This window comes from Homo sapiens, chromosome 2 (assembly GCF_000001405.40).
Source record: "Homo sapiens chromosome 2, GRCh38.p14 Primary Assembly".
Lineage (NCBI taxonomy): Eukaryota > Metazoa > Chordata > Mammalia > Primates > Hominidae > Homo > Homo sapiens.
This window is the reverse complement of record NC_000002.12, coordinates 78,266,219-78,291,002: the sequence shown is the minus strand read 5'-3', so window position 1 is coordinate 78,291,002 and position 24,784 is coordinate 78,266,219. Positions and strand designations below refer to the sequence as shown.

General features: G+C 35.3%; 1 long non-coding RNA gene across 1 annotated transcript in view; it reads left to right on the top strand.

The window, feature by feature from the left end:
* The first annotated feature begins 271 nt into the window (after nucleotides 1-271).
* LOC101927967 (uncharacterized) overlaps nucleotides 272-24,784 on the top strand; it is a 547,036-nt gene continuing 522,523 nt past the window's right edge. The window contains exon 1 of the long non-coding RNA NR_110288.1: nucleotides 272-615. This is a non-coding gene — a long non-coding RNA (uncharacterized LOC101927967). The remainder of the gene's footprint in view (nucleotides 616-24,784) is intronic.

Below are 24,784 nucleotides of genomic sequence, written 5' to 3'. Positions count from 1 at the left end.
TCAAATATACACACATGAAAGCCCACTTCCCCACATACACTACATGAAGAAATGTGTAAATCATATTAATAACAGACCATTCAATTTTTATTCTCTCTCTTTCTCCCTATGCCCCTCTGTCTCTTTATCTCTCTTTCTGTTAGACCACAAACAACTCCTTTTACAGTGATGCTTGTTTGTTGGCCTTTTCTACACTAACATATTCTGCCTACATTATTCAAAGAATCTAAGGTCTTCTGAACAAGACTTTTGTTTCAGAGATAGTATATGCATCCTTTGTTTAGCTTTGCATGTTAGCAGACTTTGTTATTTCACTTATCTTTAGAGACACATTTATATCAGAAAATTTAACTTGATGATTAAAAAAATTGGTGAAATACGTGTAGACTTTTGTAACTGGATTATAGTTTCATCTAAGAACTCACTAAAAATATATTGAACTTCAGGAAGAGATTTTTAAATGGCTTTGGTAAGCCATTTAAAAGCCTTATTTTCCCAAACGAATTAGTGTTGGTGTGTGGATGAGGAACTTTGCTGTTATTCTGTGAGCATTACCTGATAAGAACTAATCAGATGACAGATGGAATCTGAAGCTTGTTCTGATGAATTTTTGAGGTGAGTTGGTTACACACAATTTCTATTTTATTAAGAAATTTATGCATAATAACCTATCCTAGGAGAAATCACAGTTAAACAATTTTGACCATTTGTGACTAGATATCTATGAGTAGAAAATCTCAAGATATAGAGCATCATAACTGTAGGACAGAATTAAAATTCTTGTGTTATAATTTCTAATTTTTAACTAGGTCACATCAATCAATTATCAAATGCTTTGACTGTTTTCAGCCTCATGCTTTTCTTTTAAATTATTTATAGATACATATCTTTGCAAACTAGGTCAAGACTTTTGTTTTGTAATCTATCTCATTTTAATATGTTTTTAATTTAATTATATGATTTGATCTATTTTAAATTGCATTATTTTACATTTAATTTGGCAAGTGATATGGGTGTTTTGTTTTTTTTTTAAGACAGTCTCACTCTGTCACCTAGGTTGGAGTGCAGTGGCACTATCTTGGCTCACTGCAACCTCCGCTTCCTGGGTTGAAGGGATTCTCCTGCCTCAGCTTCCCAAGTAGCTGAGATTACAGGCATGCACCACCATATCCTGCTAATTTTTTTGTATTTTTAGTAGAGACAGGGTTTCACCATGTTGGTTAGGCAGGCCTCCAACTCCCGACCTCAAATGATCTACCCGCCTCGGTCTCCCAAAGTGCTGGGATTACAAGCATGAGCCACCGAGCCCAGCTGGGAATTTCTTTAAATGAAATGAGATATAATTCTCAGTATTTTTTTAAAAATATTGAGAAACAAGTGGATTTAAATAAGTAATAGTAACACAGTGGTGTGCAGGTACACTATATAGTTAAGATGATATAAAAATGACTGAAGTTGTTAAATATTGCTTACATCAGTGCCAGTTATTCTCCATGCCACTTATTTTATATTGACTTATTCTCTTAAAATATTATCCCCTTATCAAATATGAAAAATACTATATGAGCAGAAAGATATCAGACTAGTAGAAGTACAGCAGATAGAATTAGCTGTCTTTTTATCTGATCGGCAGAGATTGTTTCCCGGATTCAGGGAAGAAAACAGTGGGGAATAATAATAATAATAATAATAATAATAATAATAATAATAATAATAAAAATAATAATAATAATAAAATCTCACTTTCACTGAAGCCTTACTGAATTTATTCTGTTTCTCCACTGTCCCCACACCATTCCTTGAAGTTCTATCTCCATAATAGCGTATTCTAATTTAATCTGTGAACTTCTAAAAAATATTGGCTAGCAAAATTCTGTAAATGTTATTCATTTAAAATAACAAAAAAGTGGCTGGGAGCAGTAGCTTATTCCTGTAATCCCAGCACTTTGGGAGGCTGAGATGGGTGGATCACCTGAGGTCAGGAGTTCATGACCAGCCTGACCAACATGGTAAAACCCCATCACTACTAAAAATGCAAAATTAGCCGGGCATGACAGCACATGCCTGTAATCCCAGCTACTTGGGAGGCTGAGGCAGGAGGAGAATGGCTTGAATCGAGGAAGCGGAGGTTGCAGTGAGCCGAGATGGCACTATTGCACTCCAGACTGGGCGACAAGAGAGAAACTCTTTCTCAAAAAATAAATAAATAGGGCTGGGCGCCGTGGCTCACGCCTGTAATCCCAGCACTTTGGGAGGCCGAGGCGGGTGGATCACGAGGTCAGGAGATCGAGACCATGCTGGCTAACACGGTGAAACCCTGTCTCTACTAAGAATACAAAAAAAAAAAAATTAGCCGGGCGTGGTGTGGGTGCCTGCAGTCCCAGCGACTTGGAGGCTGAGGCAGGAGAATAGCGTGAACCCAGGAGGCGGAGCTTGCAGTGAGCCGAGATCGCACCACTGCAATCCAGCCTGGGCAACAGAGCCAGACTCCGTCTCAAAAAAATAACAATAATAAATAAATAAATAAATAAATAAATAAATATAAATTAAATTAAATTAAATAATAAAAAATGAAACTAATATAATGAACAACATGTTCCACTAAGTCTTCTGCCATATTTTTTTGCATTTTCCATCAGCTAATAAAATGAGATGACACAAATACAGCTGTCTTTGAAACATACTTTGTACCCCCACTTGTAACATTGTTTGAATTAATATTTATTCATTCCTCTCTCTCTAAAGGAAATCCATTTCTGTATATTTTAAGCATCTATATATCTGTACTAATGTAATTATTCTTTAACATAGTATTATGCTTTTTAACATTTACATAAATCTATCATACTATTCATGCTTTTTGACTTTTTTATTCAAGAAATATGATGTTTTAGAATTAGATCTGTAGAGAAATACAGTTTATAAGTTGTAAGTGCTGTATTGATTCAATAAATGAATATTCTATATTTTATTTATGTTTTCTTCACCTGGTAGGTACTATGTTGTTTCCCAGTTTTCAATATCATAAATAATTGTGAAGATACTTTGAAAAATTTGCTGGAGTTCTTTTAGTGGTAAACATAAATTGGTATTTCAATATCATAAGCATATTCCATGATTTTTCTTGTGCATGTATATTTTTGTGTATATGTAAACATTTATCCAAGAAAGATTCATAAAGGAAACAATGGATAGTGTTACGGTCTTTCTGCTCCTTAGGTCAGGTTGGTCTAAGTTCTTGTCTCACCAGGAAGCATTAGGTGCGCAGACACCGTAGAGGGAGTACAGTAAAATTTATTAAGCGAAAGGCAAGCTCTCAGCAAAGAGGGGACATGGGAGGTGGTTCCCCTATCCAAAGGTGGGACAGTCTCCCAGGTGGCTGGTTCTGGGGCCTCTTATGGATTCATAAGTGTGCTGATTGGTTTGTGAGTATGCAAAAAAAGGTTAAAGTGAAGACACCACTCAAAGGTAGGCACAACAATGTAGAAAACCAATGAGGAAAGGGTAGGTATATGTAAAATAGGTGAAGGGTGGGGATCAATCAGAGGAAAGCATGTCAAACAGGAAGACAAGTTCTCAATCCATTCTGAGGATCTAACTTGTAGCTTGCATTTCATGCTTTAAACTGTCTTCAGCTTGAAGGTGGAGTTTTACTGGGGACCTGCCCCTATCTGCCTAGGCATTTGGTGGTCTCCTGCCTCTCTCAGTAGGCAGTTAGATATTTCGATCTTAAAATTTAAAATATATTGCCAAATTGTTATCAAAAGTGAATTGGTCTTTATATCCTATTCTACAGTAACAGAGCTCCACCTTTCCAAATCCTTAATAGAAAGTGACAATGTAAATCTTTGCAATTTTGCTAATCTCATAGACATGAATTTACTTGTTTTATGCTTTCTTGATTCCTAGTGAAAAGTACTTTTCGCATACACGTTGACTATTTTAGTCTCCTCCTCTGTTAGTTGTCTGTTTATATCCTTTGTACGTTTCTCCATTTAGGCTGTTGAATCTTTTTTAAATGAAATAAATTTCTGTAAATTCTGAGTATTCAATTTTGTTGGTTATATACATTGAAAATATATTTTCCCCAGTGTGGCATTTTTTTAACCTTACCTTATAGAGTATTTTGCCATACTAATAATACGTTTTAAATTTTAGTCTGATCAAGTTTTCTTTCTTAATGGCTTGTATTTTTGTGTCGTTGAGAAATGCTTCAATTTCTAGATGACATGAAAACATACTACTATGAATACTTACAAAAGTTTCAAAATTTTCATTTTACCAATAGTTTTATAATCTATCTGGATTTTTTGTATGCTATGAGGTGGCAGCATAATTTTCATTTTTATATGGAGATCATATTATTGTATACAATTTATTGAATACTTGAATTAATCCCCACTGATTTGTCATGCCCTTTCCTTCTCTGTCACAATTGTCCTTAAATGTTTGGGTCAGTTTATTTTGTTCTCTATTTTTTAGTATTGGTCTGTTAGCTTTTCACTCTGCCAACTCCACAGTATTTTTTTTATAACTTCAATATGTCTGTCTATAACTTCAATAAGTCTTAGTAACTGTTAAGTAAAGGTCAATTTTTCTCATATTTCTTCTTAAAATATAATCTTGGTTATTTCTACTTCTGTACTCTTCTTTATATAATTGTGATCAGCTTAATATTTTACATGTCTTTATTGAAGCTGCTTGAAATTTATATATAAATTTGGAAAAAGTTGATGTGGTTATTTATGATATGCCGCATGTGACGTGATTTTGAGTATTCTCATCCATGCAAATGGCATTGTCTGTTGCCTCCTCCTGAACTTGCGATACACAACTAAGTCTTATATTTGTGGGTCAGAGATCCCATAGTATAATGATATTTGGAATAGTCTAAATTCAGTTGCTGGATTGTCCTTTCAGTAGGTGCCTTGTCTTTCTTGGCGGCATGTTTGCATATGTTCACTCCAACTTCTCTTTCTAAGCCCCTTTATATAATCCAAAAACACGTGCTGTGTTTTTCAGCTTCTTTTAAGATGAATATACAGCTTCAAATTTTAAGCAATGAAGCTGATGTTGTTCCTTATCTTGAATCAACAATTTTTGTTGTTGTTTTTCTTTTCAGCAGCTACTTCTCATTTATATTTACAGAATAAAAGGCAGCCGTCAATCAGCTTCAGTTCTAGGAACCCTTTTGTTTATAATCCATATTCTGTTCTTTCACATGTATATTTTGTTATTGAATGTAGATATATTTATTTCATTTTAGTTTAATATTTAACATATCATTATTCTCTATTTGGTTCTGAGAATTTCAAAATATTAACTCGCAATACTGTACTGACCAGAAATCCACTGCTAATAATCTTGGAAAGTTTGAGGGATGAGGCATTTTATATTTGTTTGTTTTGTTTTCAAAGGAAGTTGGGAGAAGCTATATTGGGGCAGTCATTAACAGAATCAGTTGAATTAGATGACTGAGAAAACCTTACTAAAAAGATAAATATAGTGAGTATAATGAATCTATTACCTATATTCTGATGAAATTATTTAATGATAAAACTGTTTGCACATTTATTACAATATCAGTGGTGATTGGAACTCATTAGGCATTCTTAAACTGCTATTCCTTAAAATAAAGAAGTTAATTCGTTTACTTGAAGTTCTTATTTACTATCAATTAAAATTTGGTAAAGATAATTGGTGTGCTCAATAGCTCACAATGACTTTTAATTTTAGTTGTAACAAAAATATTCTGAAGGCTTTGCTTTGAGGAATTTAAATCGAATTAAAGTTAAATAGGAATTAAAGTTATATTTGGCAATAATGATGTCAGGAAATTATAGCCATAGCTATAATTTTTGACTTCAATGTGGACATATGAATAGATATATAACCGAAATACACACAGACATATGCACAACAAAATTTAAAAAAAAAGTATGACATTACAGTCCTCACTGATGTATCTGGTCACATGTTAATTGCTGGTATTTATATCTGCCTCTTTCTGCTACTCATTCTGTATTCCCTTTGTCTTCAGCAAGCACCTTAGCTGGTCTTGCTTCTTCACCTGGTATGGTGACCCAAATCTTCATTCCAGAAGGGGCTGGGCCGTTAGTTGTCCTGCCTGAATTGAGTTGTTGTAGTTTTCCATTGACCTTAATTGCAGGGCACGGTAACACTGAGAGACACTCTAAGGAATCTCCTATATTTAAGACATATTTTTCCTTACATCTATGTTACAGTAGTAGTCCAATTTCCCTTTGTTCATCAGGATCAATTATCCCAAACAGCATTGTAATTCCTTCTTTGCCTATTGATTCAGAGGTATGAGGAGCCCAAAGTGGCCTGCTGGAAGTCTTACTTTCCAGGTCAATGAAATCACTGTGTGTCTCCTGGTAGAACTATCCCTCCTTCTGAAAGTAAGACCTACAGGCCCCTAGAGCATAAGGGCACAAGAACAGCAAGTAAAAAATTTGCTAGTGTGTCCAATTTCACCCCATGATTCCTGGGCCCATAAATTCTGCCTATTAGAGGAACAGTGCCAAATACTGAATGTTAATTTGGAGTATATAGACACCTCTGGGGGACCTTGCCCTAACCCTGCAAGGTACTGCCACCTAGCTTGTGCTGTAACTGAATCTTCTAAAGGCCTTTCCACTGTCCTAGCAAGCCAGAAGCTTTAGGGTTGCAGGAAACATGGTAGGACTAGTGAATTCCATGAACATGTACCCACTGCCACACTTCTTTGGCTAAATTGAATTCCTTGACCAGAAGCAATGCTACATGGAATAAAATGATTGCGGATAGGCTTACTCAATTCTGTAGGTCCATGGGTGGTTGTTTTGGAAGAGGTATTGCATGCAAGGAAGGCAAATTCTTCTCCAGGGTTAGTATCTATTCTACTAAAGGCAAAACACTTCCCCTTCCATGTTGGAAATAGCCCAGTTTAATTGACCTGCCACTAGGTAGCTGGAATGGTGCCATATCAGGGGGTCAGTGTTGATCTCTGCTGCTGACAGATTGGGCACTCAGCAGTGCTGTAGGCAGGTTGGCTTTGATGTGTGGAATTTCATGTTTCTGAGCCCATGCATAATCTTCATTCTTACCATCATGGCTACTTTTTTCATGAAATTTGAAAAATACATGAAAGTGGCTGCATTTTCCTTGGATTTATGGCATTAATTTTTCTACTCCCAGGATAAATAGAACCTTGGCTAAAATGTTAAATATTTTTGTTAAAAATAAATTTAATTTCTATATTTTTGCTTCAAGTTTTGCAATTGAAAATTCACCCAATCTGCATACATCTGTGTCATCACAATAGTACAAAATTTTTCACAGTGCTTATATTTTTATCACATCTATGTATCTATTGATATATCTGTAGATATAAAATCATATATAATTTCTTAGGATACAGAGAATTGTTTGGTAAAGTGAATAAACATTTCAGCTAATTAGTTATATATTTCCAGAATGTTTTTCAAATGTTTTTGATGAGTTTTTATTCAAATACAATTAGAATAGGTCTGAGAAAGAAAAATGAGAAAATAAAGAAGACAGGATAGGGAATAATTTTGAAAACATTGTGCTGAAAAGTGAAGAGTCATGGGCTGATGGCTAAAGTGTTGGATTCTCAAGAAGATATTTTCCTTAATGGAAAATATTATAGAATGTTTATATGCTGCTAGGTGTAATTCATGAGCTAAAAGAAATGAAGATAAGAAGATAAAAGGGGGAATTTCTGAACTGAGTTCCTTAAATTAGTAAGAATAGAAGATGCATTAGTCTGTTCTCATACTGCTAATAAAGACATACTTAAAACTAGTTAATTTATAAAGGAAAGAGGTTTAATTGACTCACAGTTCCACATGCCTGGGGAGGCCTCATTATCATGGCAGAAGGCAAAGGGGAAGCAAGACACATCTTACATGGCAGAAGGCAAGAGAGCTTGTGCAGGGGAGCTCCCACTTATAAAATCATCAGATCTTGTGAGACTTATTCACCACCATGAGAACGGTATGAGGGAAACTGCCACCATGATTCAATTATCTCTACCTGGTCCTGCCCTTGACAGGTGAGGATTATTACAATTCAAGGTGAGATTTAGGTGGGGACACAGCCAAACCATAGCATTCTGCCCTGGCTTCTCCCAAATCTCATGCTTTCACATTTTAAAACCAATCATGCCTTACCATCAGACCCCCAATTTTAACTCATTTCAGCCTTAACACAAAAGTCACAGTCCAATGTCTCATCTGAGACGAGGCAAGTCCCTTCTGTCTATTAGCCTGTAAAATCAAAAGAAAGTTAGTTACTTCCTAGATACAGTGGGGATACAAGCAGCTGATAACTACACCTTTTTCATATGGGAGAAATTGGCCAAAACAGAGGGATACAGGCCCTGTGCAAATCTAAAATCCAATGTGGCAGTCAAATCTTAAAGGTGCAAAATGACCTCCTTTGATTTCATGTCTCACATCCAGTTAACACTGATGCGTGAGATGGGTTCCCATGGTCTTGTCAGCTCCACCCCAGTAGCTTTTCTGGGTACAGCCCCCCTCCTGGCTGCTTCCACAGGCTGGCATTGTCTGTGACTTTTCCAGGTGCATGGTGCAAGCTGTCAGTGGATCTACCATTCTGGCATCTGGAGGCCTGTGGCCCTCTTCTCACAGCTCCACTAGGCAGTGCCCAGTGGGGACTCTGTGTCAGTGCTTCCACTCAACATTTCCTTTCTGCATTGCCCTAGCAGAGGTTCTCCATGAAGGCTCAGCCCCTTCAGCACACTTCTGCCTGCACACCCAGGCATTTCCGTACATCTTCGGAAATCTAGGTGGAGGCTCGCAAACCTCAATTTTTGACTTCTATACACCCATAGGGTTAACACCATGTGGAGGCTGCCAAGTCTTGGGGCTTGCATCCTCTGAAGCCACAGCCTGGGATGTACCTTGACCCCTTTTAGCCACAGCTGGGACACAAGGCACCAAGTCCCAAGGCTGCACAAAGAAGCAAGGCCCTGCACCTGGCCCAGGAATTCATTATTTCCTCCCAGGCCTCTGGGCCTGTGATGGGAGTAGCTGCCATGAAGTCCTCTGACATGCCCTGGAGACATTTTCCCCATTGTCTTTATGATTAACATTTGTCTCCTCTGTACTTAGGCATATTTCTGCAGCTGGCTTGAATTTCTCTCCAGAAAATGGGCTTTTCTTTTCTACTGCATTGTCAGGCTGCAATTTTCCAAATTTTCATGCTCTGTTTCCTCTTGAATGCTTTGTCACTTAAGAAATTTCTTCTGCCAGATACTCTAAATCATCTCTCTCAAGTCCAAAGTTCCACAGGTCTGTAGGGCAAAATGCCACCAGTCTCTGCTAAACACAGCAAAAGTGACTTTTACTCCAGTTTCCAATGAGTTCCTCATTTCCATTCGAGACCACCTCAGCCTGGACTTCACTGTCCATATCACTATCAGTATTTTGGTCAAAGCCATTAAACAAGTACCTAGATCCCAGTCCTGGTACAAATTTACCGTGTTAGTCTGTTCTCACGCTACTAACAAAGACATATACGAGACTGGGTAATTTGTAAAGGAAAGAGGTTTAATTGACTCACAGTTTCACATGCCTGGGGAGGCCTCACAATCATGGTGGAAAGGAAAGCAAGACATGTCTTACGTGGCAGCTGGTGAGAGAGATTGTACAGGGGAACTTCCACTTATGAAACCATCAGATGTTGTGAGACTTATTCATTACCATGAGAACAGTATTGGGGAAACCACCACCATGATTCAATTACATTCACCTGGCTCCGCCCTTGACTTGTGGGGATTATTACAATTCAAGGTGAGATTTGGGTGGGAACACAGCCAAATCCTATCAGAAGGGTTCTAGTGCTTAAATATTACATTAATCCTATATACAAGAATAAAAGTTTCAATTATGGCAACAAATATGAAGGTAATTATTTATACAAGCACACATAAATGGAGATGTGACTGTGGGCTTTTGTGGAGTTTTTAAGTTGATCCTATGTTCTGTAGAAAGAAAAACATAGTTGAAAGTAAGAATTAAGAAGTATTTGTCAGATAGTTGAGGAGAAAGAAGAAAGTATAGAATACTTGTCATGAGAGAATGTTTAGACTAAGGAAATATAATATGAATACAGGCAAGTGCTATGCAAACTATTTCTGTGCACACTCATGGTCAAATCTCTCTTTATTGAGTAAAAAGAAGTTACTCTTCCAAGCACTTTTGCAATTAGTTGGCTCAATGTGATGTGTTCTGCCAACTGACTCTGAGTAGAAAAGGCATGTGTAATTTCTCCTCTGAAGTCAATGGAAGCCACCTTTTAAAATGGTGCCATCAAAGAGTGGGCTAAGTCTGCATGCTGAATTGTAGGTTGGTTGTGAGATACCCTGGTAAAGTGACAAACCTATAGCAGAGTTGTGTGGGTGGAAAATAAACTTCTGTTTTTTCTTTCTTTTTCTTGCTTGCTTACTTGCTTGCTTTCTTGCTTTCTGTGCTTTCTTGCTTTCTTCTTTTTCATTCTGTCTTTTTTTTTTTTTTTAAATAGAGACAGGGTCTCACTCTGTCACCGAGGCTGGAGTGCAGTGCAATGGCAAAACATCCTGGGCTCAAGCCATCCTCCTGCCTCAGGCTTCTTAGTAGCTGGGACTACCAGTGCAGCACCGTGCCCAGCTATTTATTTTTTCTTTAATTTTTTATAGAGACACAATCTCTCACTACGTTGCCCAGGCTGGTTTCAAACTCTTGGCCTCAAGCAATCCTTCTGCTTTGGCCTCTTAAAGTGCAAAGTGTTGAAATTACAGGTGTGAGCCACCACCTGCAACCTAAAAGTCATTTCTTTAAACAAATATGCTAGCAGGGGTCCAGGCAGAAGGCAGGCAGAATATTGGCTTCTCCCAAAGCAGTATAAAAAAACAAGAAAGGGGCACAAAAGTTGACTGAATATACAATGAAATACTAGACTACTGGAGCAATGAATTAATACTGGGTTGGGTGAAAAAGAAGAAAAGTAAAATTCAGTAAAAAGCTGTAGCAGTAATAATTTGTGGTTTCTGAGAAGCTCAGAGAATTGTTGGTTTTGAGGTAATAGGATGAATATGGAAAGATGGAGTGATGTGGAGAGGTGGAGTTGTTGTAAAGAAAATGGGGCACTTGCAATCGCAATTTTTGTCTGTAGGAATATGAGCAAATCTATGGAATGCCATCAAAGTAAGGGGATAATATGGAGTAGGGCACTTCGACAGAGAAGGATATTGAAATAACCAAGAATTTTGTGAAAATAAATGACCATGTAGTTGGTGCATAATGGGCCCCATCTACTTGAAGATGCGTGTCTTTTCTCAAAATCAGTGCAATTTTCTGCTATTTGTTTTACAAATTTCTCTCGCCTAAAATAATTCTACATAAAAGTTTCTTCTGATTTTCTTTTTAATTTTGTTTACATTTGCTCTTATATTGCAATCATTATATTAGAACCATTTATCTATTTTTCCTAAGTTCAGGAAAAATGTCTCAAGATACCCTTTCTACTATACTGGTTACTATTCCCATTGCATAAAATATCTGGCACTGGTATATTTTAAATAAATATTCTATTTTCATATCAAAATATAAGATATGTAAGAATTACAGAAGAAGCAAATATATCCTGCAAAGAATCAAAATCCCTTAATTCTCTGGAAAATTTCTATCACATAAAGATCTATCTTATGCTTTCTAATGACTACTGATCTCTAAGTTAATACTCAACACTTTAAAAGAGCTTCCTCTGTGATTTCTTCTTGTGTTTAACTTTGAAATATGAAGCCTGCCTTCCCCCACTTAATCCTCACTTACTACTGGAGATAGGATTAAGTGCTTTACATTTTATTCCCATTCGTTGCCAAAATAATTATATATATTACATATATAGGATAAAAGATTTAATATATAATTGTTATATAAATTATATAGTATGTGCTATTAATCTGTTAGATTATGTTAATTATATTAATATGTTACATATTAGAATTCACATATTAAATCATCAAGAAAATAATGGGCTAATATGTAACATAATTATGTAGTCATATATGAGAAATAAAACATAAGACAAAGATTAATAAAGATAGTTGGAAATAGCATGATTAATGAGAAAAATTAGCAGATTCTGGAAATTCTAATATTTGAAGTATGTAAAAAACAAACAAAGAACAATTTACTTAAGCATTAGTATGATAAACTTGGACTTAAGGGAAATTTTTTTAAAAATAACATTATAATTAAATTTAAAAAGTGTGCAAGTTTTAAGTTTATATTGTATTTATTTGTAAAAATTGAAATTGCATAAATATCAACAGAGATTTGACATGTTAAAATGAATTATTTATAAGAATAAAATACCAGGTAATCAGGTAATCAACATCTCAAACACAAAGTTTTTAAAATTGAAATTTATTAAAAATATTATTTTGAATTAATGTAGTTTTAAGAGATAAAAAGGGTAGAATCTGATATCAGTAACATTTGTTTAAGAAAAATGGGTAGAAATCTAATTGAAGTAGCATTTCTTAAGAGTGGAGAGATATCAACTTAGAATATGAGCGTTTATAAACTTTATAAATGTGGTGAGAAATACCTTGTCACAAGTTAAGAGCCTTCAACCTTTATGTGAATACATAAATATATGCATATATAATTCCACTTATCCTTCAATAAAGCATGAAAATTCCACCTTTAGAAAAGTTTACCCTTCCTTATTGATCATAATATCAGAAGTATGAAAAAAAATATTTCCTTTCAAAAATTTTTAAAAAGGGCGAAAGAATTGCTTTTTAAACATGAAGTGATACTTTTATCATATATAATATTATTTCTAAATCTACAAATTTAATCTAAATTTGGCTGTGGAGATGTGTCTTAGGATGAGTAAAAATCAGAATTTTATATTCACTAAATTGCTTTTAAATGATCCTAAATTACAACAACATATATTTGTCTTATTTCATTTCCGTTATGTAATTTTCCTTTATTTTATAAATAAATTTATCATTTGTTAAAGAGTTTATCTGATTTATTTTTTTCCTCCTGAAGGAATATAATTCTCTGTCATTTGCTTTTATTTATTTATTTATTTATTTATTTATTTAGAGACAGTCTCCCTCTGTTGCCCAGGCTGGAGTGCTGTGGCAGGATCTTGGCTCACTGCAACCTCCACCTCCCAGGTTCAAGTGACTTTCCTGCCTCAGCCTCCTGAGGAGCTGGGATTATAGGCATGCACCACCATGCCCCGCTAATTTTTGTATTTTTAGTAGAGACAGGGTTTTACTATGTTGTACAGGCTGGTCTCAAACTTCTAACCTCAAGCTATCTGCCCACCTTGGCCTCCCAAAGTGCTGGGATTACAGACGTGAACCACCACGCCTGGCCTGTCATTTGCTTTTATAATAAAGCACATACACAGTATTTGCAAAGACAGTTACATATGAATAAAATACGTTTATAGATTCTTACAATATTTTCTCAAAATAGGTTTAACCACCTTTTAAATTTCAAATATTCTGTGACATTCTGAGAATAGAAGATAAAACTAAAAATGTTATAGGAACTAAGCAAATGGAGAACTCTGTTTAACTGGGAGATGGTGAGGAAAAGAAATAAAGGTGTTGACATAGATGTAGCCATAATCTAAAACACATCTCATTTAAATTTAAAGATTAAATTTGTTCCACTCTAGTAGAATGTAGCCTCAAATATTAATTTTGGTTTGGTATCACAAAGTGCATAATGCGATAGACCATGTAACAATTAGAGAAAGAGGAGAGAAACATGAAGGGCGGCTCGACAGTCAACAGTGACAGGTTTATTTTGAATAAACCTGAGAGGGGCAGCTGGCCAAGTTAGGTCAGAGCTACATTCTCTTATAGAATAAGAGTTTTTTTTTCTTTTTATTATTATTATTATTTTTTTAATTTTATTATTATTATACTTTAAGTTTTAGGGTAAATATGCACAACGTGCAGGTTTGTTACATATGTATACATGTGCCATGTTGGTGTGCTGCACCCATTAACTTGTCATTTACATTAGGAATATCTCCTAATGCTATCCCTCCCCCCTCCCCCTACCCCACAACAGTCCCCAGTGTGTGATGTTCCCCTTCCTGTGTCCATGTATTCTCATTGTTCAATTCCCACCTATGAGTGAGAACATGTGGTGTTTGGTGTTTTGTCCTTGCGATAGTTTGCTGAGAATGATGGTTTCCAGCTTCATCCATGTCCCTACAAAGGACATAAACTCATCGTTTTTTATGGCTGCATAGTATTCCATGGTGTATATGTGCCACATTTTCTTAATCCAGTCTATTAAGCTTGATTAATAGACTTTGGCTTGATTCCAAGTCTCTGCTATTGTGAATAGTGCCACAATAAACATATGTGTGCATGTGTCTTTATAGCAGCATGATTTATAATCCTTTGGGTATATACCCAGTAATGGGATGGCTGGGTCAAATGGTATTTCTAGTTCTAGATCCCTGAGGAATCACCACACTGACTTCCACAATGGTCGAACTAGTTTACAATCCCAACAACAGTGTAAAAGTGTTCCTATTTCTCCACATCCTCTCCAGCACCTGTTGTTTCCTGACTTTTTAATGATCGCCATTCTAACTGGTGTGAGATGGTATCTCATTGTGGTTTTGATTTGCATTTCTCTGATGGCCAGTGATGATGAGCATTTTTTCATGTGTTTTTTGGCTGCATAAATGTCTTCTTTTGAGAAGTGTCTGTTCACATCCTTAGCCCACTTTTTGATGGGGTTGTTTGATTTTTTCTCGTAAATTTGCTTGAGTTCATTGTAGATTCTGGATATTAGCCCTTTGTCAGATGAGTAGGTTGCAAAAATTTTCTCCCATGCTGTAGGTTGCCTATTCACTCTGATGGTAGTTTCTTTTGCTGTGCAGAAGCTGTTTAGTTTAATTAGATCCCATTTGTCAATTTTGGCTTTTGTTGCCATTGCTTTTGGTGTTTTAGACATGAAGTCCTTGCCCATGCCTGTGTCCTGAATGGCCTACGTTTTCTTCTAGGGTTTTTATGGTTTTAGGTCTAACATGTAAGTCTTTAATCCATCTTGAATTAATTTTTGTATAAGGTGTAAGGAAGGGATCCAGTTTCAGCTTTCTACATATGGCTAGCCAGTTTTCCCAGTACCATTTATTAAATAGGGAATCCTTTCCCCATTTCTTGTTTTTGTCAGGTTTGTCAAAGATCAGATAGTTGTAGATATGCGGCGTTATTTCTGAGGGGTCCATTCTGTTCCATTGGTCTATATCTCTGTTTTGGTACCAAAAGGCTATTTTGGTTACTGTAGCCTTGTAGCATAGCTTGAAGTCAGGTATCGTGATGCCTCCAGCTTTGTTCTTTTGGCTTAGGATTGACTTGGCAATGCGGGCTCTTTTTTGGTTCTATATGAACTTTAAAGTAGGTTTTTCCAATTCTGTGAAGAAACTCATTGGTAGCATGATGGGGATGGCATGGTATCTATAAATTACCTTGGACAGTATGACCATTTTCACGATATTGATTCTTCCTATCTATGAGCATGGAATGTTCTTCCATTTGTTTCTAACCTCTTTTATTTCAGTGAGCAGTGGTTTGTATTTCTCCTTGAAGAGGTCCTTCACATCCCTTGTAAGTTTGATTCCTAAGTATTTTATTCTCTTTGAAGCAATTGTGAATGGGAGTTCACTCATGATTTGGCTCTCTGTTTGTCTGTTATTGGTGTATAAGAATGCTTGTGATTTTTGCACATTGATTTTGTATCCTGAGACTTTGCTGAAGTTGCTTATCAGCTTAAGGAGATTTTGGGCTGAGACGATGGGGTTTTCTCGATACACAATCATGTCATCTGCAAACAGGGACAATTTGACTTATTCTTTTTTATTATTATTATTATACTTTAAGTTCTAGGGTACATGTGCACAATGTGAAGGCTTGTTACATATGTATACACGTGCCATGTTGGTGTGCTGCACCCATCAACCCGTCATCTACATTAGGCATATCTCCCAATGCCATCCCTCCTCCCTCCCCCCACCCCATGACAAGCCCCGGTGTGTGATGCTCCCCAAGAGTTTTTAAGGATTCAGGGTGGAAGAGTTTATCAGAGGCTCGGACTGCTTCTGTGCCTCTTTGTTGTGCTTATATGGGAGGGAGAGTTGTGTGTCTGTTCCCATACATCTTTCTGCAGGTGCAGGCGTACCCCCGGAGTCTGCTTTTAGCCTCCCTATCTTAGTGCACCTGAAGGGAAAGGAATGTGCTTGTTAAGGCCCACTGTTTTACTGGGGCCCACTGTATGAAAGTGAAGTTTGTCAGTTACTCAAGAGACTTTCCGCCCACCTCCCTCTGTATCCAAGCTGTTTTATCTGTGTTTTACTGTCTGCTCTTTCTGGCTGCTTTTAGTTCGAAGAGAAATGATATACTTGAAATGCATGAGGCTAGAAAGGGAGCTGGAATTTAAAGTGGTGGTGTTTGTCTGAGATCACGGTGCTCCTGCTCTATCAGATTGAAATTTACATTACATACGATTTTGTAATTTCAAAGAAGAGAGTACTAAGATATATACTGAAATATGTGTTTCTCTTTCTCTTTGGGCTCTTTGGTCTGCCTTTGTTTCTTTTTTATTTATGCATTTGCATAAAAGATTAATATGTGCTTTTTAATTTTATAGAAATGTTCTATTTCTAAAATTTAAATATATTTTGACACACTAGGACTTGATGTTTTCATTCAAGATTATGTTTTTGGAGAGAGTCACATTGATACATGTAGCTTGAATTTATTCATTGTAGCTGCTATATGGTGTTCCATTGAAAAAAGGGAAACATATATTTATTATTCTAAAGGGGACTGGTTTTAATTTGTTTTTTCCAGCTGTTGGAAAAAATGTGTTGCAATGAACATCTTCGATATCTTTCCTTAGATATAGCTGTGTGTCCAAGAATTATTCCAAGTAGGCACTGACAATTAGAATTTCCTGGTCGTCAGGGCATGCACTTCTATCTGTTTAAAACAGTTTTTCTGCCAACCCTCAGGTCACAATTTTCAGTACAGATTAATGCTGTGCCAGTTTGTTGGGGATAATAACATTCCTTTGCTTTGTTGGCTGAGGAAGGCAGAACTAAGTCTATTTCTCTTCACTGGAAGGGTTGTAGTAATTTAGGAAGCTCTGATTTCAGATTAATCTTATCAGCATACTCCAGAAAGGATGCATTTGCTCAGTTTTCTTTCTTTCTGACAACTATCACATCTCTGTCAAATATCTAAATCCTGTTGTATCACTTTTTGCAACTCTGCTTCGTCACAATCCATGGGAAATTTTGAAAGTCCATGATAAACGTACATGTGAATTCTATTAAGGGACATGGGAATTACCTCAGATGGCCTGTACTCGACCGTAATCTAGGGTGTGTAGTTAGTCAAAAATGCAATGAGTACAATAAAATACATCATAAATGATTTTTCATGTGTTTTTATTAGAAATAGGCACAGATCTTGCTCAACAGGATACATGGGTCTGACCTCTGTTGTCTTTATTTTTCCACAATTATTGCTTAATTTTCATCTATAATTCAGTCACTATTTCCTTTCTCAAGGAAATCTTGAGATAGGGATCTTGGTTTTATATTTTGTTTTTACATTACCTTCAAGCATACTGGAAACATTCTGCTATATCAGTATGATATAAAAAGTGAAGTTGACTAGATTTCTCCAAATCTATTTTTAAAATTGAAAAAAAAATACAGATGTTTTGCTGTTCCTGCTCCGTTTAGCAGTTTTACCATGTTTCTGAATTCTTCCTCAGATTAGGAATATATTTAACTCTGCTCTTGTATTATAAAAACTAACTGGGGTATCTGCCACTGTTAAATGCATGATAGGATAGTGTCTTTCAGGCTCATCCTCATTGTGGCATATGGCAAGATCTCATTCTTTTTTTAGGACTGAATAATATCTTATTGCATATATATATATTCCATGGTTTATGTATCCACTTATCCATTGACAGAGACTTCATATCTTGGCTATTGTGAATAATGCTACCATGAACATGGAAGGACAGGTATCTTTATTAGGTGGTAATTTAATTTCCTTTGGGTATATCCTCAGAAGATGGATTGCTAAGTCATATGCTAGTTCTATGTTTATATCTTTATTTTTGTTTTATTTATTTTAAGTTCCGGGATACATGTGCAGGATGTGCAGGTTTGTTGCATAGGTAAGTGAGTGTTTACCTATATAACATCACCTAATACCTAGGTAATAGTTATTATTCCCTAGGTATTAAGACCAGCATGCATTAGCTATTTTTCCTGATGCTTTCCCTCCCACTACACCCCACCCCTGACAGTCCCCAGAGTGTGTTGTTCCCCTCCCTGTGTCCATGTATTCTCATTGTTCAGCCCCCACTTGTAAGTGAGAACATGTGGTGTTTTGTTTTCTGTTCCTGCATTAATTTGCTGAGGATAGTGACTTCCAGCTCCACCCATATCCCTGCAAAGGACATGATCTCATTCCTTTTCAAGGGTGCATAGTATTCCATGGTATACCTGTACCACATTTTCTTTATCCAGTCTATCATTGATGAGCATTTGGGTGGATTCCATGTATTTGCTAATGTGAATAGTGCTGCAATGAATGTATGTGTGCATGTGTCTTTATAATAGAATGATTTATATTCCTTTGGGATTCTTGGCTCAAATAATATTCCTATTCCTAGGACTTTATGAATTGCCCCACCATCTTCCACAATAATTGAACTAATTTACATTCCTATTAACAGTGTAAAAGCACTCATATTTCTCCACAGCCTCACCAGCATCTGTTGTTTCTTGACTTTTTAATAATTACCATTCTGACTGGCATGAGATGGTATCTCATTGTGGTTTTTGATTTGCATTTCTCTAAGGATCAGTGATGTTAAGCTGTTTTTCATGTTTGTTGGCCACATAAATATCTTCTTTTGAGAAGTATATGTTCATGTCTTTTTGCCAATTTTTTAATGGGGTTGTTTGTTTTTTCTTGTATATTTGTTTAAGTTTGTAGATTCTGGATATTAGACCTTTTTGTAATGGGTGGCATGCAAAATGAGTAGATTTTAGCAGCTCTTACCATAAAAACAACAAAAAAAATGGGCAACTATGTGAGACAATAAATATATTCATTTGCTTCACTATAGTAACCTTTTTGCTATCTATATGTATCCTATAACATCTTGTTGTATACCTAAATATATAAAATTACATTTATTTTTAAAATAAATAATGCATGATAGAGCACCCTTCTTAGGGGCCCAACTGTATATGAACTCTTTTTATTTATCTAACTATTTTTTTCTGGAACCTATAGAATCTTAGTTTTGGTTACTGTATGATATGGATTGAAAGAACCTTTTTGCTATTGATTATGTATTCTTCCATAAACTTTGCTTTTACCAGGTCCTGACATTTGGAAATAAAAAAGTTAAAATCTGGCCCTCTTTTTCTTTCTGCCTGTACTCTAATCATCCAGCCCTTCCTTGAAGTGATAAGTGTAACATACCTTAGCTACCTTATCTACCATAAAGGACTAAAAAGTGATGCAAGGATTCAAAAACAGAACAACCAAATATTATTGATAAATGAAGACATAAAAAATATTAATTCCAGATTTACATATCTGGCTTTAAAAAGGAAAGGTAAGATGGTCTTGATTTATACTTAAATGAAAATAATTAGAAAACAAGGAAAAAACTAGCAATCATCTATTTTCAGTAATTGTACAATAGACAGTGGGAAAGTATGATTCTTGAGAAACAGGAAACAAATGAAGTGAGCCTTACTATAGCTAGTCTTTCTATCTAGAGGAAATTCCTGACCTGTTTTCCAGTAAGAAGAACAGAAACTATAATTTGGTGATCTTGATATGTTGAGAATTTATGATATGAATCTAGAATAGTCAAATACGCTTTGAAAAAGGAACAACTTTGGAAGACTGACACTGTCTGATTTCAAGACTTAACAAAGTTTAAAAAAACCCACATTTTGGTCTTATTGTAAGGATAGTCACATTGATCAATAGAACTGAATAGATAGGCCTATTCATATATAATCCATTGTTTTTTTTTTTTGACACAGATCCCAAAGATGACAAGTTAATATAACACAAGAAAAAATAGTATTTTAAACAAATGGTAGTTGGACATACAGATATCCACATGGAGAACAAAAAGAAAGATCAAACTCAAATTCCATTAAAACAATCCCTAAATAAATCATAAATCTTCAGGTAATATATTCCTTCCATAAACAATAAATTTTGAAAAATGACTTTGGGTTAGGTAGATATTTTTAAAATAGTACGCTAAAAGTACTCAAATTATACATGCAAAAGTATTGAAAGAAATGTTTTTATAAACAAGAAAACAGCCAGGTGTGGTGGCTCATGCCTGTAATCCCAACACTTTGGGAGGCCGAGGCGGGTGGATCATGAGTTCAGGAGATGGAGACCATCCTGGCTAACATGGTGAAACCCAGTCTCTACTAAAAATACAAAATATTAGCCAGGCGTGGTGTCACGTGCCTGTAGTCCCAGCTACTCAGGAAGCTGAAGCAGGAGAATCACTTGAACCTGGGAGGTGGAGGGTGCATTGAGCCGAGATTGCCCCACTGCACTCCAGCCTGGGCAACATAGTGAGAATCCATCTCAAAAAAAAAAAACAAAAACAAACAACAAAAAAAAACCAAGAAAACTTTTGCTTTTCCAAAGTCAATAAATACTAAGCAAATAAAAGGAAAACAAGAGATTTGCAGGTCAGAGTTGCAAATAATAGCTGAGAAAGTTCTTGAATATAAATATATATATAAAGGACTCTTACAATGCAATATTATAATTTTAAAACAATTTAAAAATGAGCACAATATATGAACAAATACATCACCAAATAAGAAGTACAAATAGTAAGTATATGAAAATATCCTCAACATGTTTATTCATTAGGGAGATGCAAGTTAAAACTACACTAAGATATCACTGTATAAAAACTAGAAGACTGGTGTTAAAAAGTTTCATAATACCAGTAATGTTTGTTATGATATGGAATAACTGGAACATTTCTGGAAGTCATACGTTGTTGATAGAGATATAAAATGATTCAACTGCTTTGGAAAACAATCTGTCATTTTCTCATACATTAAAAAACCTTCATTTAACATGAATTATTCTGATAATGCGTTTTTTTTTCTGGTTATATGTATACTCCTTGTTCTGTACTCTAGTTTTTCCAATATTAATATAGTCACTACAGCTTTCTTTTGATTAAACTTTGCATAGCGTATCTTTTCTCATCATTTTACTTTTAACTTGTTTTAGTGCCTTTATATTTGAGATGAGTTTTTTATACACCATATTGAATTAGGTTCTCCCTCTCCTTCCCACACATTTGAGATAATTTTTTCTTTTACTTCATACATAGTGTTGAACTTTGTTCTGGTACACAGATAATTTTACTTTGAATAAATTTCTTTTAAGGCTTACTTTCAAACTATATTAGGAAATGTCCAGCGCAGTCTTTAGTATGGGACTAGCTCACCCCTATAAATTACTAAGTACTAAGGCAATAACCTCTGAGAACTGTACACTGGATCTCGTATATGATGAGCTCTGTTTACTCTGGTGTAAGGAACTAACTCTTCACCTCTTGTGGATTTTAAGAATGCTTCCCTGCTGCTGTCTGCTGAGTTTTCCTTTAACATGCAGCTTGAAAATCAGCAAAGGACTGGAATGAACCCATCTACAGATCTTCTAACTCACTCACTCTCTTTTCATCTCTTTCTTAAGGTATTTTGGCCTGCAAATTCTAGCTGCCTCTCTACAACTTGATCTTTTGTCTTCAACCTAGAGACCCTGAGTTTGTTTGGTTTATCATTCTCTCTGCTGTGGCTTGGAAACTGCTCCTAGGAAGTGAGTGGGGGAAACTATATGGGACTCCTTTCTGTCTTCTTTCTCCCAAGGATCCCGATCATGTGCTGTCTGTAGTCCAATGTCTGGAACCATAATTTAATTGATTAGTCTAGTTTTTTTTTTTTTTTTAATTGTTTAAGGTAGGTTAGTATCAGTCCCTTTTCTCCCTCATGACAGGATGTAGAATTTGCGTAATTGATATTTCAGCAAACAAATGATTGATCCCTCCTCCCTAGGCTGCTTTGTCAGCATCATTTATGAATTTTTCTTTGAAAATTCCGTAATTATGGTAACCATGCCTCTCATTCTTCTACTTAAATATCATCAAACTGCCTCACCAGATAATACAAGATATAGTTCGTTCTGGCTTGTAATAAGACAATTCTTAGAAAGCCTCTTTGTAAGTATGTAGAAAAGTGTGCAATTTTGATGTTGAAGAAAACAGTGTATACCAAATATTCAACCACTCATTATTGAATTCTCTCCAATCATTTTTCCCTATAAGCAGGGTTAAGTAATAAAAAAATCTTTAGTTTTTAAAAAACACTTTTCCACAACATGAATGAATACTGTAATACCTAGTGATTCATTTGGTAGATGCCAGGAAGACATTTAATAAAATTTACATACACTTCTGATCAAACTTCTTAGAGAAATAGGAATAATTTGCATAATAAAGAATGTACATTACAACTTAACATACAACTTCTTTCTAAAGGATATAACACTAAAGGCTTATCAATTGACTTCATAAATAATAGATAATAGTAGATGTATATTTCTCACATGAAATGCCTGAATGTGACTTTACTGAAAAGTATGAGACCTAATTAAATTAAAAAAAAATCTTCTCGGGTAGCAATTAACACTTACGTAAAAATGTGGCTTGGCGCGGTGGCTCACGCCTGTTATCCTAGCACTCTGGGAGGCGGAGGCGGGCGGATCACGAGATAAGGAGATCGAGACCATCCTGGCTAACACAGTGAAACCCTGTCTCTACTAAAAATACAAAAAATAATTAGCTGGGCGTGGTGGCGGGCGCCTGTAGTCCCAGCTACTTGGGAGGCTGAGGCAGGAGAATGGCGTGAACCCGGGAGGCAGAGCTTGCAGTGAGCCGAGATCGCGCCACTTCACTCCAGCCTGGGTGACAGAGCGAGACTCCGTCTCAAAATAAATAAATAAATAAATAAATAAATAAATAAATAAATAAGCAAATAAATAAAAATTAAAACATAAAATAAAAGGCACCAATGACTGGATTTAGAGTCCATTCTGAATTCAGGGTGATTTCATCTTGATCCTTAACTAATTACATCAGCAAAGACCCTGTTTCCATATATGATCACATTCTGAGGTTCTAGGTGGACAGGAGTGGAGGGAAGAGGCACTTTTCAAGTCACATATCATATTTTAAATATAGATTGATTTTGTTTAGGTGATTATTTTGGCAAGGAACATATACTCAAGTTACATTAAATATGGGAAAGTCATCATATGAATATTAAGCATAAAATCAGGAAAGAACAAGAATCTATGTCATGAATAGAATGAATAAATAAAACCTACAAAGGTGAGAGTAGGAGTGTTAAAATCCTAGATGACCATGTTTTTTCATACTACGTGGGTGAGAGTATAAAATGTGCTTTTTTCTTTCTCCTGAATTTTTACTCCAAGGATACGTAATGAATTATATAGATGAGCATTTTTTTGTAGTAAATGCTTTGCTGTTATTGCAATATAAAAAACAGGAAAAAAACTTACAAAGTACTATTTAAATTATTTTATATCCAAGTAATGGATGGAAAGTTAAATGATGTTTCAAAAATTGCATTAGCTGTCAGAAATCTATATATGATATACTTAAACTACAAAGTATATTAATAAAAAGAAATACAACATAATTAATTTATGTGTTAGAACAATAAAAGTAACAAGATTTTTCTTTCCTATGAAATAGAAGTCTGAATCCAGAGTCTTATATTTGTAGTGAGAAATAGTTCTGTAACAACTGTTTTATCTTCCCTCAGTGTTATTGATTTAGTCAGGCTTCCTGTAAACATGGGTAGTTCTATCAGTCTATATATTATCAATATTTTCTAAGTTTTAGCATAGGCTATAATATATTACTATTTAATTTTTCTAATCTCTTGAGTACTTAAGTCAATACACTTGTTATATTTTATTTTTCATCTATATATTTGTATCTTCTTTCTTTTTATTTGATTAGCCTTACTAGACTATAACTATTACATTGATTTTGTAAAAAATAGGTTTCATAGAATAATTTTATGTCATTGTTTATAAAATAAGCTGTCTGGGACTTAGAAATGTATATGTGCATATTTCAGAAATTACATCATGTAAATCAATGTGAGCAGACACAAGAACTCTGTGCAATGGCTCTACACTGAGAAAATCTAGCAGCATTAGCCAGCCTCAGAAATTAACTTTAGAGTTATATATGAGTGGTATGTCCAGGTACACTTTGGTAGTTTGTTCTAATGCCTATTGCAGAAAAATAGCACCATTAGTAGAATTTGTCCAAGCTAGGTTGAGAAAACCTGGAAGTTAAATTTATTTAAACAAACAAAGAACAACAATAAAACACTACTGAGACCCAAATAATTCTGCTATGCCATCCTTTTAAAAGTGTTAAAATTAAAGAAAGAAAAAAAACACATTTATCTATTTTATAATGGAGAAATAAGCATCATTTATTAGCAGAATGGAGTTGATGTCTTAAGAAATGTGACATGAGTAGAAAATAAGAGCTTGCCCTGG